The 18,485-nt window shown below is 32.8% G+C and overlaps 1 protein-coding gene across 41 annotated transcripts in view; it reads left to right on the forward strand.

The window, feature by feature from the left end:
• The window catches only part of BLTP1 (bridge-like lipid transfer protein family member 1), a 210,422-nt gene that overhangs the window by 31,658 nt on the left and 160,279 nt on the right, over positions 1–18,485 (forward strand). For all 41 annotated transcript variants that reach the window (XR_938783.2, XM_047416253.1, XM_047416259.1 and 38 more), the window contains 9 exons: positions 2,048–2,234; positions 3,443–3,524; positions 3,907–4,100; positions 6,012–6,091; positions 8,241–8,391; positions 12,647–12,803; positions 13,208–13,286; positions 15,371–15,462; positions 17,021–17,138. Coding sequence is in view for 40 of the 41 variants with exons in the window: in XM_047416253.1 (XP_047272209.1) it covers positions 2,048–2,234; positions 3,443–3,524; positions 3,907–4,100; positions 6,012–6,091; positions 8,241–8,391; positions 12,647–12,803; positions 13,208–13,286; positions 15,371–15,462; positions 17,021–17,138 (1,140 nt within the window). In the remaining variant the exon portion in view is untranslated. The remainder of the gene's footprint in view (positions 1–2,047; positions 2,235–3,442; positions 3,525–3,906; positions 4,101–6,011; positions 6,092–8,240; positions 8,392–12,646; positions 12,804–13,207; positions 13,287–15,370; positions 15,463–17,020; positions 17,139–18,485) is intronic.

Raw genomic sequence — 18,485 nt, forward strand, 5'->3', positions numbered from 1 at the left:
CTTGTTAACAATATGGCTTATGTTAACTAAATATTTTTTTAAAAAAGAAAAGTTTAGTCAAAAGAGCAAATCATCTAACAAATAGACTGCAAGATTAATAGAAGCATGACATGTAGGGGAAAATATGCACCTAAAGTAAATCTCTCTAAGGAACAAACTAGATAGACTTTATAAATGAAATCAAAGGCAGAAATATTGGGCCTGCTCAAAGTTAAGTGAATGTGTCAAAAGCCAAGACTGAAAAGAACGTGGCTCTTAGGAATAAGTTTAGCCATCTCTGCAGTGTAAGTAAGATATCTTCACTTAAATGCCACCTAAAATTATTTTTTAGATAGTTGATAGCAGTTGCTAAGAAAAAAAGTTTGTAGGGCTGGGTGTGGTGGCTCACTCCTGTAATCCCAGCACTTTGGAAGGCTGAGGCGGGCAGATCACCTGAGGTCAGGAGCTCGAGACCAGCCTGGACAACATGGTGAAACCGCTTCTCTACTAAAAATACAAAAATTAGCCAGGCATGATGGCGGGTGTCTGTAATCCCATCTCACTGGGAGGCTGAGGTGGGAGAATTGCTGGAACTTGGGAGGTGCCAGGTTGCAGTGAGCTGAGATTGTGCCATTGCACTCCAGCCTGGGCAACAGAGGGAGACTCCGTCTCAAAAAAAAACCAAAAAACAAAAAACATTCATAGCAGTTGCTAAGAAAAAAAGGTAAAAATGCTGGTTTAACAACTGGTACTATACAGTCACAGTCTAGAGACTCATTAGCATACTGCCTTTCTAAGCCACACATGAGAAACTGCAAAATGCCCATTTCATACTCTCTCAGAATATTGTATGACAAAACTTAGCCTTTGTTCAAACTTATCTAATGAACAGCTGCTCTAGCTGTTGGAATACTTTTTCCAGACATGAAATCTGCCCCTAATATTCTGATTTCATTATTCCTACAGATGCCAAATACTAGCCCATTTACGCCAGTCTTCATCAGGGAAGAGTATATCATATAGTATAGAAGAGGGGAAAAGCTATGTGGGGCAAGAGAATGATAGCAAAACGATAGAAGACTAAATACTAGTGAAGTAATAGTGAAATCTAAAGTAATTTTGGCTGGCTCAGACTTGTAAGTTTAAATCTATATTCCTGTAGGAATGAAGTTATAAATTACAGTAGATTACTAGGTGAAAAGAAAGGATTTTTCAACCAAGTGATGATAAAATCAGAGTTTTGTAAACTCCATAGTTTTCTAAAACATCTGTTATAAAGTGGAAAACATTTAAATATCCGTAAATGTTTGAATTTGTTCAATAGAGATAAAAATGGATAGAGGTTATAAAAAAGAGGTCTCAGAAAACATGGTAGTTCTTTCATTTGGTAACAAAAGAAAGCATTGATTGTGGTACCTTTCTTCTGTGGCTCTCTTTGGTTGACATGTGATGCATTGTTTTAGATTATTTCCTTAGTAGAAACAAGTGCCTCATCCATCACTTTAAATGGATTCATTAATTACTATTGCTATTTCTACTTAATGTAATTATGTCTTTTATTTGAGAAGATTGAAGTCCACAGTTCATAAAACCTATGTTTTAGTGTTGTGTATGTTTATGGAAATAAGTATTTATGAAAAATTGTAGTTTCTGTGATGCAAAAGTTCAAATACCAATATGATAGTTAAATAAAGCATCATACTTTAAACATTTTACTGCATATATTTTGGTATAAAAATATGGATATATTAGGGTAAAGGTGTACTTTTACTCTTTAAGTGGTACTTTACTGTTCTTAGCATAAAAATCTTTAAATTTTTTCAGTATATAACTGGAATCTAGAAATTAAAGTTGTTTTTAGAATGCTAAATTAAAATATAACAGAAACATCAAGTTTTTTCTTTTTTTGGCCAGTGTTTTGTATTTATTTTATTAATATGCTTCTCTGTATCATGGAATTCTATTTTAAAATAAATTGAATTACTTTGGGTGTATAAAAATGTTTGAGTAAAAACTTTGAAGTTCTTAAAAAGTTGACTAAAAATTTTTTTGTAATTGGTGTCTTTAGATCCAAAGGCAGAAACCAGGTTATACATCACAGTCAATGACTTTGAATTTCATGTCTATAATCGCTCGGATCTTTATGGACGCCTTCAAGAGTTGTTTGGTTTGGAGCCAACAATAATTCCACCTAAGAAAGATGATGATAAAACACGGGAAATTGGAAGAACAAGAACCCAATCGAAAATTGAAAGGTTCAGTATCATACTTGAATTTTATTAAACTCTAGCATTTAAACATTTGCCTTTATTAGAATATCATTGAGGCTATGCACCTAAACAGAGCCTAATATTTCTTTGCAAATTAACTGAAACTTTTAGTAACATAAATAATTATATAATTATTTTAGAAATTGAGATAATATAGAATATGTAATCTAAAAAAGTCCCGTTCTATTCCCTTGCACACAAATCCTACTTTTCTCCGTATTAATAACTAATGTTATCAATTTAGTTTTTATCCTTTTGAATGTATGTACATAAATGTATACATACATATTTAAGGTGCTTATAAAATACATGATTTTGTTCTGTGTGTTTCTAAACATATGTGTTTAGAATATGTGCCTCATATAGTGTGTATTGTTCTGTAATTTGCTTTTTATGTAGCAGTTTGTCTGTAAGATTGTTCCATATCTGTATATGTAGGTCTGCTTTTAAAAATACATATCTGTGTATGTAGGTCTACCTACAAAATTATTCTGGAACAGGATCAGCAAACTTAGACCTATACTATAGCACAAGTCTAGCCCACTGCCTGTTTTGTATATAGAGTTTTATTGGGACATAGCCACACCTATTTATTTATATATTATCTATCTGTTTAGTGAATTGCTGTGAAATTTTGATTTCTTAACATTTGTGTACTTTGTATATGGCCAGTTTTCTTACTCTTGGCTTATCATTTTCATTTCATTAAGGGAAAATTAATTTGGCACAAGGCATTTGGGTGAGGGAAGGAAGAGGAGCAACTGGATTGTTTTCAGAAGTGCTTAAAACAGTAGACAAACATCAAAGTGACTTGTACCTTAATCATTTATGTTTAATAATAACTTTGGCTGTCTTATAAAATGTCGTATAGTAACATAATGGGCAAAATGGTAGATGTAATGACAGCATATCATCCCTTATAGTTTTGTCATTAAAGCTTGTTATTCTAAAAACATAGTTTTGTTATAATAGCTTATCCATCTAAAAGTTGATATGATAAGAGTGCTCCAGTAGACAGCTGTAGGAATATTAGTATTCCTTCAGATGATCATTGTTCTGTTTACTGAAGTAGTCACTAGATGTATTTGGAAAGGTAAACTGAAACTGTGAGGTATGGTATTGTGAGGAAGTGAACTATGTCCTCAGGTATTTAAGGTTTTCTTATTCATGTCAGTTTTATTTTTTCTTGTTAGAGTTAAAGTAAAAACAGAATCCCAAGACCCCACATCTTCATGGAGATCACTTATTCCAGTCATAAAGGTCAATGTGAGCACAGTAAGTAAATTCTGCTACAATTACTGTTTCATGGGGTAGTAATGTAGAACTTTTAATTTTTGCAAATATGATTTTAATGTAAGAAAATTAAATAGTTTTGTGGAGTTTTTTTTAGTTCCCATTTCTGTATAGTGTGAGTGAAATAATTATTTTAAAATACTGTTTTCTGATAAATTTGTGTTTAAATTTCTTTAAGTACTTAAATTTTCTTTTAACTACTGGTTTAAATTGACCAGTGGAATAGTTTAAATAGCACATAGTCCTAAAGTGGAATCATTAAGCTGTTGTTTGAAAATGTTTGTTATTAGTTTAGCTAAAGAAAGAAATATGGCCAGAATAGCATGATATAATATCTCTTATCTGTTTATTTTTTTTTTTTTAGGGACGTTTGGCCTTTGGAAATCACTACCAGCCGCAAACTCTGTGCATCAACTTTGATGATGCTTTCTTAACTTATACTACAAAACCACCTTCAAGTCATCTTGACCAATTCATGCATATTGTGAAAGGAAAGCTTGAAAATGTTCGAGTCATGCTTGTTCCTAGTCCAAGATATGTTGGTCTTCAAAATGATGAGTAAGAAAATCTTATAAAAATAATAAAAAACTTCTTATAGGTAATACAGATACAGCTAGAAACTTTAACATCCTTTTACTTTTTTTGCTACAAGTTGTACAAAAATTAGGTATATTTCTCTATTAAAGCAGTTAACAATGTAGTCCTTCTTTATAGGATAAATGGATATGCTATCCAGTGATAAACTCTAATTTTAAATATTTTTCTGCATGATTATAACTATAATTTTTTTATCCTTTTCTCCTTCTAATTGTATTTTGGAAACTTACTTTGTGCAATTAGTTCCTGTTTGTATGTTAGGAGATACACATTACAGGTAGGTTTTTGTTTCTAGAAGATGTGACTAAAGAGTAAATTGAACAGATTCATTGCAGTGGAATACCACTTTGAGTTATTGAAAGTCGAAAATTGAATCGAAATTACTCTTGGAAAATTTGGTGAAGTTAAGATGGTATAGTTTTGAGACCCACTTGACATTTCTTTAAGTTCCAAACTGTCAGTTTTCCATCTAGCTTTCCATTTTTTTTTTTTTCCTTCAGTGAAGTAGCTGCTTGTATTTATAAGACTCATTATAGGAATGATGTACACTAGACTCAGTGTGATGGGATGCTGAGTGGGAGATGGGCTCTTGTGATTTTTATGTTTTTTCTCAATTTTTGTGTGTGTAAAGGATACTCTGGTTGAATTTAAGTGTTCATATGGAGAGTTTTCAGTACAGTGTCTCAGCTTTTATCTTTGTGTGTAGGTACCTTATGAGGTTTTATGTGAAACATGATTATTCCTTTTTAGTTGTAACTCTTGGCTGGCCTGGTATTCGATTTTCCAGGATTTGGCTAGAATGATAGAAAGAGGGTTTTTCCTTTTTGAGTATCGCGGTGACTGTGGGTCTTCCTGGCCTCACTCTTCAAGATCATGGACTTGGTTAAGAATCTTCTGGAATGTGGACTGTGCACACAAATGTGTATGAGTGAAGGTATAATACTGAATAAATCAGGATTTTTTTGAAAAATTATAGAGAGTAAGATGAAAAAGTGTCTTGCTATTAATAATTTGTATAAAAAGATTTAAAATTGTATTTTTCACTTAAGTGTGGAGATTACATGATGATATTAAACATTAAGCTTTGTGATTTAATACATATTTAGAAAAAAATTGCAAGTTTTTGCATTTAATATCATCTAATGATTGAGAAGTTAATTTTGATATGCAAGAAGATATTGTGATGTATGTATGACAAAGAGAAAAGTTGTTTAATCAAAGCAAGCAAAGATTAATGGTTTCTGGGAAATTATTGATGGTAGAAAAACGTTCATTCCAGAGTTAGAGTTCACGATGTTTGCTCTAGATTTATTTCAAGTTGATTAAATATTCATGGAAATAGGTAATAAGAAGATAAAAATGATAACTTTTTTATTATTTAATGTTTTTGAATGATTATAGTTTAATATACAGATAGATAAAATGATACTTATTAGTTATTAATATTAAGTGGTCAAATTTTAATTTTGTTGTAAATGCAGAATATGATCATTTTATTCCAGTGATCATCATTCCATTGTATTTAAACTTTGTTTTAAATCGATTTCTCTCATTCAAAACTGAAAATGAAAAATATAAAACTAAATTTTTTCTTTTTAAAACCAAATTTTTTTTTCTTCTTGAAGTAATTTACTGATAAATTTTTAGTATCATTTTATTATTAAGTCCAACATAGAATAAAACATGGAACAATTTCTTAGGATGATTGTTCATTGGAAAGATGTTTTTCTTTCTTTTCAGGATGCTACTTGTTATGTGCTTGTTAGTTTTTTTTTCCTTTTCTTTTCACCTATTGCCAGCATTAACTAGGATACTGAACATTTTATATTCTGGAGATTTGTTTAGTTTGCTTTCCCCTCCACCTTCTTATAGACCACCGAGATTAATGGGAGAAGGTTTTGTGGTGATGCAGTCAAATGATGTTGACATCTACTACTACATGGATGAGCCAGGTATTGTTGTTGTTGTTGTTGCTGTTTTTTTTAAAGTGACAGAGTGAGACTCTGTCACACAGGCTGGAATGCAGTGGCGTAATCATAGTCCACTATACCCTTGACCTTCCAGGCTCAAACAATCCTCCTACTTCAGCCTCCTGAGTTGCTAAGATGACAGGAATATGCCACTATGCCTGACTAATTTTTAAAGTTTTGTAGAGATGGTATTTCGCTATATTGCCCAGGCTGATCTCAAATTCCTGGCCTTAAGTGATCCTCCTGCCTCATTCTCCCAAAGTGCTGGGATTGTAGTCATGAGCCCATGGTGCCTGGCCTGTTTTTTTTTAAAAGTATGTTTCATAGCTACAATTCTATTTCTTCTATGAAATGCTGATATCTAGTAATATTTTAAATCTTCTTGCTTAGCCATCAGGAAATGGTAAATGTAGATAAGAGTGAAAATATCTGAAAAATATCTGTGTCATTTCTCAAAACTTGAATATTAGTTTAGTATTATAGATTAAAAGAGAACATTATTTTTTTCAAATTCAGTTTTCATAGATAAACCTCAAAAATTGAGAATGCAAATGATCATGAGTGAAAACCTTTAAAGGATGTAGTGATAGTTAAGGTAGTTCATCTTAGCTTAGAAGCTTAGTATATTAGATTTGAGACTTAAAGTTTGAGGATTGAAATTCATCTAGTTAGAATTCTTGACAGGTGGCTTCCATTTTCTAAAAGTATCTAAACATTGGGTTTTAAGCTCTTTTTTCATACTTCTGCTCTTTTTATACCTTTCAGAGTATAAAAGTATTTAAGGTCAAAGTATTTTGAAAGTAAAACTAAGATGTTATTTGCCTTTTCACCATGTTGACATTTGTGCTAATGGTGCAGAGCAATGGTGGGTAAAACTGTTGTTGCTTTAACACTAATCAAGGAAATGGTTCCTAATTATACTAGTAGTCATTGTATTTTTCAACTGCCACACATTTACGGTAAAACAAAATGTCAAAATCACATTAAAATTTCCTTGATTAAGCAATAGAAATTATTTATTTTGTCAAATGTTGACCTTTGATTAAAGTGTTTTTAATATTTGGTGTGAGAAAATGGGAAGTACACATAAAGTGCTTGTGCTGCATACCAAAATATTCTGGTGTCTTGAGGAAAAGCACTTGTATGATTAAGTTGCAAGCTGCACTAATTGCATTTTTTTTTTTCATGGAGTGCCAGTTTTATTTGAAAGAGTAATTAGAGACAAACTATAATTTGAGCTTTCTTGTGAAAATTAGAACTTTGGAAAATTGGAGTCTGCTGTTATGAGCTTGACAGCATCCCAATAGTTAACATCTTTTATGATGAGACCACCAATGATATAGCAAGTGTGATGTTTTTAAATGTTTAATAATGGAATTGGTGAATATTTGGAAAAAATTTGCATTACTCAGTGAACCCGTATTTCCCAATGCATGATGTTACAAAAGTCATGCATAGATAAATGTATTCAAAGTGCAAGATAGACCAGTAGATTTTAACATAACAGTGTATGAAAAGTTTAGTGATATGGCTTCAGATTCCACATTGCAATTAACCTTTAAGAAATTTCCATTTGTTGAATTTTGGGGTAGTATCAAAGAAGAGTATTAAAAATTATCTGAAAAAGCTATTAAAATACTCCTCCCTTTTCTATCTACATATCTTTACGAGGCCAGATCTTTTCCAAATCCTTCAGTAACAGATTGAATGCCGAAACAGCTATGAGAATCCACCTGTTTTCTATTAAGCTAGACATTAGAGATTTGCCAAAAAAACCTCTTATACTTATCACTAAATTATTTTGTTTTAGAAAATAGTTATTCTTCATTAAAAGTGAGATTAAAATTTCATTTAATTTTATATTACATGTTATATTTAATTACATTAAATATTTTATGTCAACATGAGTTTATTTTTAAAATATTTTTTAAAATTGCTAAATTTTAATTTTGAACATAGTAATTCTTGATAGACATAAGACAATATGAGAACAACCCCTTTTAGGTTCTCAATAATTTTTAAGAGTGTAAAGGTTTCCTGAGACCAAAAAATGTTGGAGCTACTGATCTAAGGAAACTTTTTAATGGCCATTTTAAATAACTGCCTTTATATTGTATGTTCTGGAATATAGGACTTGTTCCGGAAGAAACAGAAGAAAATATTGAAGGAGAAATGAGCAGTGAGGATTGCAAATTACAAGACTTGCCTCCATGTTGGGGACTGGATATAGTTTGTGGTAAAGGAACAGATTTTAATTATGGACCATGGGCCGATAGGCAGAGGTACTTGAGTATGTTATATTTCTAATAAGTTTTTTAGATGTATTTAGATGTATATAATTTTAAATAAAAGCTAGCTTAAAATTTTTATAAACTATTTTATTATGGCAGAGGAAGATATCACTAAACATTTTGATCCAAAGAAAAACTTGCTTGTGGCTTCTCCACAAGCAAGTTCATTCCAAAGGTGGAGCTGATCGATTAGACTTAGTATCTAATTCTGATTGATTAGAATTAGATTGATTAGAATGAGGAGCATATTTGTTGGTTCATTTTTTTTTCTTTTGGATTTAATCAACAACGATTTCTTCATTGATCCCCTACTATATGCCAGATATTGTTGGGACTATGGGAATTCAGAAATAAAAGACATATATCTTCCAGTTTTAGTGGGGAAGAAAGAACCAAAAGACTAATATTAGGTGCTATAATAAAGGTAAGTAAAGGGTCTTCATGAAGAACTTAGAAAAGTACTCTACTAGTTTGCTAGGGCTGCCTTAATAAAGCATCACAGATAATGTGGCTTAAGCAACAGAAATGTATTTTCTCACAATTCTAGAGTCTAAGAGTCCTCCAACAAGGTGGTGGCATGATTGGTTCCTTCTGAGGGCTATGAGAGAAGGATGTGATCTAGGCCTCTCTCCTTGACTTGTAGATGGCTGTTGTTTTCCAGTATCTTCATGTGGTCTTTCCCTTGTGTACCTCTGTGTCCAGATCATACTATCCAGTCATATTGGATTAGGACAGCATACACTAATGACTTCATTTTAACTTAATTACCCTTCTTAAGACCCCATCTCCAAATATAGTCACATTCTGAGGTACTGGGGGTTAGGACTTCAGCATATGAATTTTAGGGGTTAGGACTTCAATGTATGAATTTTTAGGTTACTTGGTATTCCTAGTATATAGTATATAATTTATATTAAAGATTAGGGGAGAGAAGAAGGCTGTTTGGTTGAGGTAACGTGTAAATTAAGTTTTGAAAGATAATTGAGAGTTAGCCAGGGAAAGAAGAGGAGGGTGAATCATTGAGGCAAGGGAAGAGTTTTATAAATGCATGAGGATAGTGGAGAATTGTTCTATAGTTATAGTCTATAGTGGTTAAGAGGTATAGATTTTATAATGTCATTTTATTTTAAAGTATTTTTAATTTTTAATATATTATGAACATTTTTCTACTTCTTGAAGAATTTTAAACAAAGAAGGGGACATTTACCATTAAATATGAGGGAGCATCTAAGTTTTTATGTACAAAATTAGACATTTCTTAAAATTAGTTAAATTAGTTTAGTTTTTCTATTCATGAACTAGCTTTTTTGAATAGAGAAATACAAGCCAAGTCGTTCACTTGAGCAGATATTACGGGGCCATTGATAGATTAGTGAAAGAGTGCTGATACTAACTTGATGTATTGACTTTTTAAATGCTTTTTTAAAAAGTGCCATCTAGCTAGCATTATTAGAATTATATATTTTGTCAAGTAGTATATTCTTTTTTTTTTGAGACGGAGTCTCGCTCTGTCGCCCAGGCTGGAGTGCAGTGGCGGGATCTCGGCTCACTGCAAGCTCCGCCTCCCGGGTTCACGCCATTCTCCTGCCTCAGCCTCCCAAGTAGCTGGGACTACAGGCGCCCGCCACTACGCCCGGCTAATTTTTTGTATTTTTAGTAGAGACGGGGTTTCACCGTTTTAGCCGGGATGGTCTCGATCTCCTGACCTCGTGATCCGCCCGCTTCGGCCTCTCAAAGTGCTGGGATTACAGGCGTGAGCCACTGCGCCCGGCCTCAAGTAGTATATTCTAAGAAGGCTGGTTGAGGTATAATATACCGAACAGTATATTCTATTAATCTTGTTATCTGTAGTATATAGGAATACCTGCCTCATTAAGTAGCTAACTAACAATTATATGGTAAATGAATAAGCTCGTTATTTGAAAATTCTTGCATTATGCTAAAACAATACTTCATTAAGTTCTGCATTAGGTCATTTGTTAAACTTGAAAGTAAGCAGAGCATAAAATTTCACGTTAGAAAGAAAATACTTTTCACATTATTGGATTTAAATTTTCCTCTTCTGGTAAAATTTTCCTATAAGTCATGCTATATTTGACATATAGCATATAGTTGAAAATGAGAGATTTTACATTTCATTAAGTAATAGAGCTACATCTATTTAAACTATATTGAGAAATCTCAAGAAAGGTTTATTTTATTAGGTTGGCAGAACAGTTATGTATTGTTTGCGAAGAAAAAATGAAAATAATGCTTTAACATAGGGCCATGAAGTGTGTTTGCATTTTTTAGCACTTAAATAAAGTGTGATTCTTCTTAAACTGTATTTAATTTCATTATGTATTTTTCATAAATTTTAGGGTATATTTACACAAAAACCCAAACTAAAATGCAGTAGAGAAATGACAGTGAAGATAGAAATTTGCTTTAACCACTCCTTTCAGTAGATTTTTCCACTGCCAGGAGAGAAGAGCAATGCATTTCTAACCCGGACTTTAAAAAAAACACTCAGGTTTATTTAAAAAAGAAAAAAAAAAGAAATCTATTTTTCACATATATTAAATTCACTAATGTGAGCAATATTTGTCTCCTCAATTACATGTTCAAAAGGTCTTATGCAGCCGTTTCCTCTTCTCCTTCCCTGTATTGAGTTTCTGCACAAATACAAACTGTAATCAGTAATGAATAGTAAGGACAGTTTTCTTAGCAGCCATCTATTAACATAAGGCATACAGAAAGAAATCTCAGCTGTTTTGCTATTGGATAATTCACTCAGCATTGTGAGGAGTTACTGACTTTTGAAATAGCATGGTTTTAGCCTATAGATTTTATAATCATAACATGATTTTAGTTTCTAGATTTTGGTGTCAGTTCTACTACCTTTACATGGTTGTCTGAATATTTAAGATATTATTCAGTTTTTACTTCATGTTTTCTTTTTATGAATTTTCATGACAGAGTTGAAATACAAACTGTTTTACAATGAAACTTAATCTTCAGATGATGATTATAATAATACAAACCTTCCTAACATTGTCTGGCATTTTTTTTTTTATTGCTTTCACTTAAAGTACTTTCATTAGTATTTTCTGACTTGATCCTTATAACTCAGTGAGATTCATAGGACAGATGTAATGAACTCATTAAACTTGTGCGAAAATGGAGACGCAGAGAGGTTCAGTGATTTGGGCAAGATAGTGAAGCTACAGCATGAAGTGCTGAGGTTCAAAGCAGCCCTTCAGGTCTACTGCCCTTCTCATTATGTCCTCCTATCTACCCACCTTGTAGTCAATGATCATCTAATGGATTCTCTATCCTTAATATTCTTAATTTTCTATATTTATGTGTCTTAAAACATTTGCAGAACTTTATTTTCCTTTCATATATTTTAATTTAACGGTAGCAAGTTAAAGTCTGTGAGACTTAGTGTACAGATTTTGTCTGGTTCATCTAATTTTTCCCAGTCTTAATTTATTCTAGGTAGCATTTTCTGTCACTGCTGACTCAACCCTTCCTGTTTTAAAGCCATAGACTGGCACCTTCTTTGAATGTATGAGTAACATTATACAATACTAATGTTAGCTCATGTAGAAGACTCTGAATTGAAAATATCTTGGGCTCTTTCATTTTTGTCAAATGATAAGGGGAGGCAAAAACATTAGTACTTTAGCCTCCAAATACCTATTTACCTTTTAGAAATCTATTGCTCTTTAGCCTTTTAATGATATAATATTGATTTAAAGTGATTATGAAACTGATAGAAATAGCCAATTCTTCCATGTGCCATGCACTGCTAAGTGTTTTCCATGTGTCTTACCATTTAAACCTCTGAGCCTTTGTATGAGACAAGGTATATTATTCCTGTGTTACAGAAGAGGAAGCAGCTCAAATTTTCTGGGGAAGATTGAGTAACTTGTCCAGGTTGGAATGATGATTTTAATTAAGCTATCCTCTGTCAGTTCTTTGTTTGCCATTTGAGCAATTTATATACTTGTAGAGAGTCTTTAGTTTGTCGTAGTAATCTTGAATAGTGCAAATTTTCTCTTATGTCTCATTTGATAATAGTATATCTATTGAGTAATCAAGGCTCATTGATCTCTGGAAGTGTTAAATACTACAGAAAACAGTCTAATTGTCAAATGTGATAGCAATGATAATAAAAAATTAGAATATTGATTATGTTCCTTTATCAGAAGTAATTTTGTTTGAATAACATGTCATTATTCTTTCTACCTCCTTAATGTAGAGATTGTTTGTGGAAGTTTTTCTTTCCACCTGACTATCAAGTTCTGAAAGTTTCTGAAATTGCACAGCCTGGGAGACCAAGACAGATCCTTGCTTTTGAATTACGAATGAATATTATTGCAGATGCTACAATTGATTTGCTGTTTACCAAAAATAGGGTAATTATTATAATAATATAGTAGAAAATAGTATTTAAAATTTTGACATTATTTTTCAGAGTTTTTTCCTGGTGACTAGTCCCATACTTGGATTAATTTATATGAGCTGTTTTCCCTTGAAATAATTTTATGTATTTTACTATCATCATAATTTTGTTAAATGTCAAATAATGGGAAGAAATTAATAGTAATAGACCTTCATGCTATATTCTGGCTCATTTTCTCCTTTATATCTGGCTAAATTGTTTTAGTGTATTTTTGGTAAAAATTTGAACTTTTGTTCTTAGGAACTTGTAATACTTACTTAACATCAATAATTTCTTCTGTAATAATAACTGAAAAGTAAAGATGGGAGAATAATTATAATTAATGTTTTATATGAATTAATTTTTTTCTTTTGGTAGGAAACAAATGCTGTACATGTAAATGTAGGAGCTGGCTCATATTTAGAAATTAATATTCCAATGACAGTTGAAGAAAATGGTAAGCTGCAACTGTTACTTTTCTTTTTAAATAATTAGGGAAATAATTATAAATAATAAAGTTTGTTAATCATCTTAGACTAACATTAATAAGGTTTTCTTTTTCAGTTTTTTAATTATATTTTGATGTGCCTATACTCATTAAAGGGAAATATTATATAATTGAGCATTTAGAGAAAAGGGAAACCTTTTCTAATCAAGTTCAGTCTTATATGCTTTTATTATAACGTATACATTTCTTTTGTAGAACTGAGCATAATTTACTTAATGCATGGTTTTCCAGTTAGACTGTTGCACTTTGAGAGCAGGTGCTGTTTTTTTTCTTTAGTGTATTCTCAGTGCTGAACCCTGTACCAGACGTTTGGGCAGTAATTGATTGGATGACTGCAAGGCTTTGTTTTAGGTTATATTATTAGTAGATTTCGTCAGGGAGTAAGCCGGGTGGGTACTTTGAGTGGCATAACTTTAATAAACATTTCATGTTAAAAATGTTAAAGTGTGTCCTCACAGCTTTAGTTTCATCTGAGCTGAGATGATCTAAGTTGATCATGCACTTGAAATATGGGCACTGACACAGTTAATAACATGAATAAATACTTTTTGTTAAATTTATCAAATTGTTATAACTTCATTTTGCCTTGTAATTGAGAGCAGTTAAGATGAAATTCTGCTTTATTTTCTTTCTTGAGAGTAAAGAGTAGCAACTTACCCACATTTAAAATCAATCATCATTAGTGTTTCTGTTGCTAAGTATAATTCATTTTTGTGTAATTCTTAGCTCTTGTTTCTTGGTTCTGTCACTTATTTTGGTGCTGTAAGAGGAAAGCAGGCAGAGGGTTGACTACGTTCATTAGTTTATGTAAAGTGGTAGCATTCAGGCCTGCCTGCTTAGATAATCAATTGAAAAAGTGACTGTGAATGGCATAGTGTATCTTTTCCCCATAACTCTGAGGCTATTTTAGTGAATAACTAACCCTTATCTAGTGTTAAAAATACAATCTTACTAAGGCTTGAAGGAAATGTTTGAGATTCTCTAGGAGTGCTAATTCAGAGTACGCAGTTCGAAAGAAGCATCTTTTAGAAAAGCCAAAAGCATCTTTTAGAAAAGCCATACATCTTTTACAGGTGTATGATGGGGTATAAAGGCAGTTGAGAGTTTTACGCAATTGATAATGTTTCAGTTAAGGAAGTGCTTCTGCCTTTTCACAACTGATGATACACATAGGAAATAGTATTTTTACTGTTTTATGCAGTATTATACAAATACTGGTACACTGGAGTAAAGGAGTCACCTGAGGACTGAGGAGTCAATATCTTGAGTATATCTATTATAAATGTGTGGCAAGTACCACAGCATACTTGTTGTGGAACTCTTGAGTTAAGGGTCTAAGGAAAGCCCAGTCAGGTTTTGGGTATAGAGGTTAGGTAGCTTTTAAGACAACTGGCAAAGAGAAAATGGACTTAGGTGTCAGGCAAGAACAATATATAACAAAACTTTTTAGAGATTCAGGTATTTAAAAAAAGAAAAAAAGCCCAGAGCAGAATGCAGGATGCATGTGGAACTAGCCATATAATAGTGACCACAGAAGTAGTGTTCATAGGAAGAGATTTCTTTAAGAAAGGAAATACAATACTCTAAACTATTCAGCTTTTGTTGAGAATGGACTATATTGCTGAGAAACTGTCATTACATGAGGGGAATAGCTGTTACTTAGTAACCATCATTATATAAGGAGTAGTTGAAAATGATGAAAATATGTACCCTTGAGTCAGTGGAAGAAGAAAAGTAGTTGTGTTCTGTAACTGAAAACTACTGTTTAAAGAATAGACTTGTAGTTTTGCAAACTACAAAGGAAAGTAAAATCAGAATAGATATTATATGGAGTTGGAACTTTGTTCCTTTAGAACATGAGAAGGATCACCTATTAAGTTAGCAAGCTCCCTGTCACTGAGGTGTGTTTAAATAGTGACTACCATTTTTCAAGGATTCCTTCTTTGAGTGGTGGTAGGAGTTGGTTCTAGTCCAAAGATGTTTCATTTTGTAATTGTTTTCCTGGTTCTTAGTTTTTATGTTTTTATTATTAGGTTACACTCCTGCTATTAAGGGACAACTCTTACATGTGGATGCCACTACCAGCATGCAATATCGGACCCTTTTAGAAGCAGAAATGTTAGCAGTAAGTCTGTAGTACATGATGATATACATACTTGTATGAAAAACAATTGATTTTAATTTTCTTATATTAAGTTTAAGTAACCAGGAAATCATCAAATGGTCCATCTTCTAGTTCAAGAACAGCTAGGGAAGAGGAGTGGATTCCCAGTGCTATGGACTCCTGTTGGCATCTCTCTGTTGCTCTCCTTCTAGTATGAGGGAGGTGAATAAAAGGCAATGATACATGTTTTTGGCCTGAAAAATATGAGAAGTTGTTAGAATATTGTTTTTAAAGTACATTGTGTGGCTGGATTAAATCTCTTCTAAGTTCTAAGTAAGATAATTCTTTAATATATGTTTTCTAGCCCCGCTGGATTTCTTTCCCAGGGTTTAAATAATGTAATTTATTGTGCCTTTTACTTGATGAGTAAGGTAAAATGAAGAAAATCTTGTTGATACCCTGGATTGTTTCATATTATAAAGAGAAACAATATGTAAATGCCCATGATTAAAATTGCTGATTGGGGACTCATTAATCAAGCAGATTATTATTATTATTACTATCAGGGACAACAACACTAACAATAACAAAAGCTGCTATGTAAAATGGTTAATATTCAGAGATTCTTTCATATAAGATGGTGCCATAAGGTTCTTAATTTCTTGTCTTAAACATTTTACATATGACATATGTAAATTAAGAGAAAAATTCTGCAATTAACAGGAATATATAAAATACTATAAATATACCTTAAAGTGGCATATTCAGTATTTTAATGAATTCTTCATCTATTGCTGATAAATAGTGCTGTGTGACAATGCTCTTCCTAGGTAGGCAGCTTTTCCCTTTGCAGAAATGCCAAACTGCGCAGGATGTGGTGACTCACACCTGTAATCCCAGCACTTTGGGAGGCTGAGGCAGGCGGATCACTTGAGGTCAGGAGTTCGAGACCAGCCTGACCAATATGGTGAAACCCTGCCTCTACTAAAAATACAAAAATTAGCCAGGTGTGATGGCGCGCATGCCTGTAATCCCAGCTACTCTGGAGGCTGAGGCACAAGAATTGCTTGAAGCTGGGAGGCGGAGGTTGCAGTGAGGCGAGATGTGTCACTGCACTCCAGCTTGGGCAATAGAGTGAGACTCCGTCTCAAAACAAAAAAAAAAAAAAAAAAATGCCAAACTGCAGAAATACTAATGTTACTTTGTGTGACAGTACGCATCACACTCTATCTTCCTTCACACTGAGCCTGTCACTTAACAGATGAGGCTTAAGGAGAAATTAGGGATGTCGGTTGTTACCCCATTGGTTTATCTGGAGTGCAGTATCAACACTGTAGCCTGATTTGTTGTTCTGAAAGTTTTTTGACCACATCTTGACTTAATATTTCAAGGAGCTAGATGTAGCCATGGATATTGACCTTCAGCCACAGCAATATTAAAGTCTCAAAGGGACCTTCTGTTCAGCTCAGTAGGAAAATGTTTTAATTACTCACTAGCGTGTGTAACTTCATTTCTAATGCTGTTCACACAGTGTCACATTTTAAGCCTTAATTACTTTTACCTAACATTTGTTTTGCAGTTCCACATCAATGCCAGCTACCCCCGAATATGGAACATGCCGCAGACATGGCAGTGTGAATTAGAGGTTTATAAAGCCACTTACCACTTCATCTTTGCACAGAAAAACTTCTTTACAGGTAATTTTCTAATAGATATAAATACAGTGAGATTTATCACAGTGAACTTGTTTACATTTGATAAGTTTTACTTTTAAATTACATAGGGATATGATATGATTCATATTTTCTTCAACATTTCATTTTGGGCTGAAAATGTTAAAGAGAAAATTTAAATATAGACATTTTGCATTCTTTTCTAACCTAAACAAGGAAAATATAAACCCCAAATTGAGCTTAGAAGGAAATGAAAGAACTCAATTTAGGCTGCTGCTTTGTATCAGTCTAGTTGGAGGGTAGGATGGAGATGATGAATCAATTTCTCTCTCTTCCCAAATTAGGCATCAGCATGGCTTCATTATTTTGTTTTAATAATTATAATACACAACAGTATACGCAAATAGCTAAATGTTATTTTTATACTTGGAGCCCTTATTTAATCTTTTCTGTTGGCATGGATAATTGAGTTGGTGCTGTCACTAGTTGGAAGAAACATTCCTTTATTTCTTGCAGCATTTATTGATAGCTTTGCATATTTTGTGACTATAAGAACACATATTGTTGGTCTATGAATAGCATAAATATTACTACATTAAAATAAGTGGCATTTATTGAGTCTTCTTCTAAAAAGTTTAGCCCCATAAAGTTGGTCTAATTTGCCAGGGTCAGTTGGCTGTTCCACAGAAACCTAATCTTTGCTTGACTGCTTGCTACATTTATCCATCCATCCATCCATCCATTTGTGCAACAGTTGTTTTATACAAGCGTCTCATCGATGCTGAGTACTATTAGATATTTGGAGGTGTAGTGGTGTTTAAGGCATATGTAGGTAGTCCTCTCCTGACAATACTGCTCTATAATGTTGTGTAAATGATTTCACTGTTTAAGCTTCAGTTTCCTTGTTTGTGAAATAGGGATAACAATTTCTACCCTAATTTTGCTATTACTAGAGTTTTGACCTTTTAAAATGCCTCTTATTGCAATATGTTCAATCAAGTCTTTCATATTTCTTTTCTGGTTTGACTGGGAGCCTTGGGGACTAGATAGACTGCTTCTGCTTTCCTGGAGTTACATACTTCTCCAAGGCTTGAACCAATGTCCCAGTAGTAGAAATTTTGACAGTCCCTGGCAAGTTAAGCTTTTGCTAGTGAAGCAGAGCATTGAATAAACACTTCTCAGTTCAAATTTATGAAAAAAATTATAGCTAAAACTTATAGTGTTTATTATGTGTCTGGCTCTGTCCTAAGCAGTTTGCACATATTAAATTATTGAATCCTCACAATAACTCTCAGGGATCAATATTATTATTATTTTCCTTACTTTATAGATGAGGAAGATGAGTTACAGAGAGGTAAAACAGTATGTCCA

This window comes from Homo sapiens, chromosome 4 (assembly GCF_000001405.40).
Source record: "Homo sapiens chromosome 4, GRCh38.p14 Primary Assembly".
In the NCBI taxonomy this organism is placed as follows: Eukaryota; Metazoa; Chordata; class Mammalia; order Primates; family Hominidae; genus Homo; species Homo sapiens.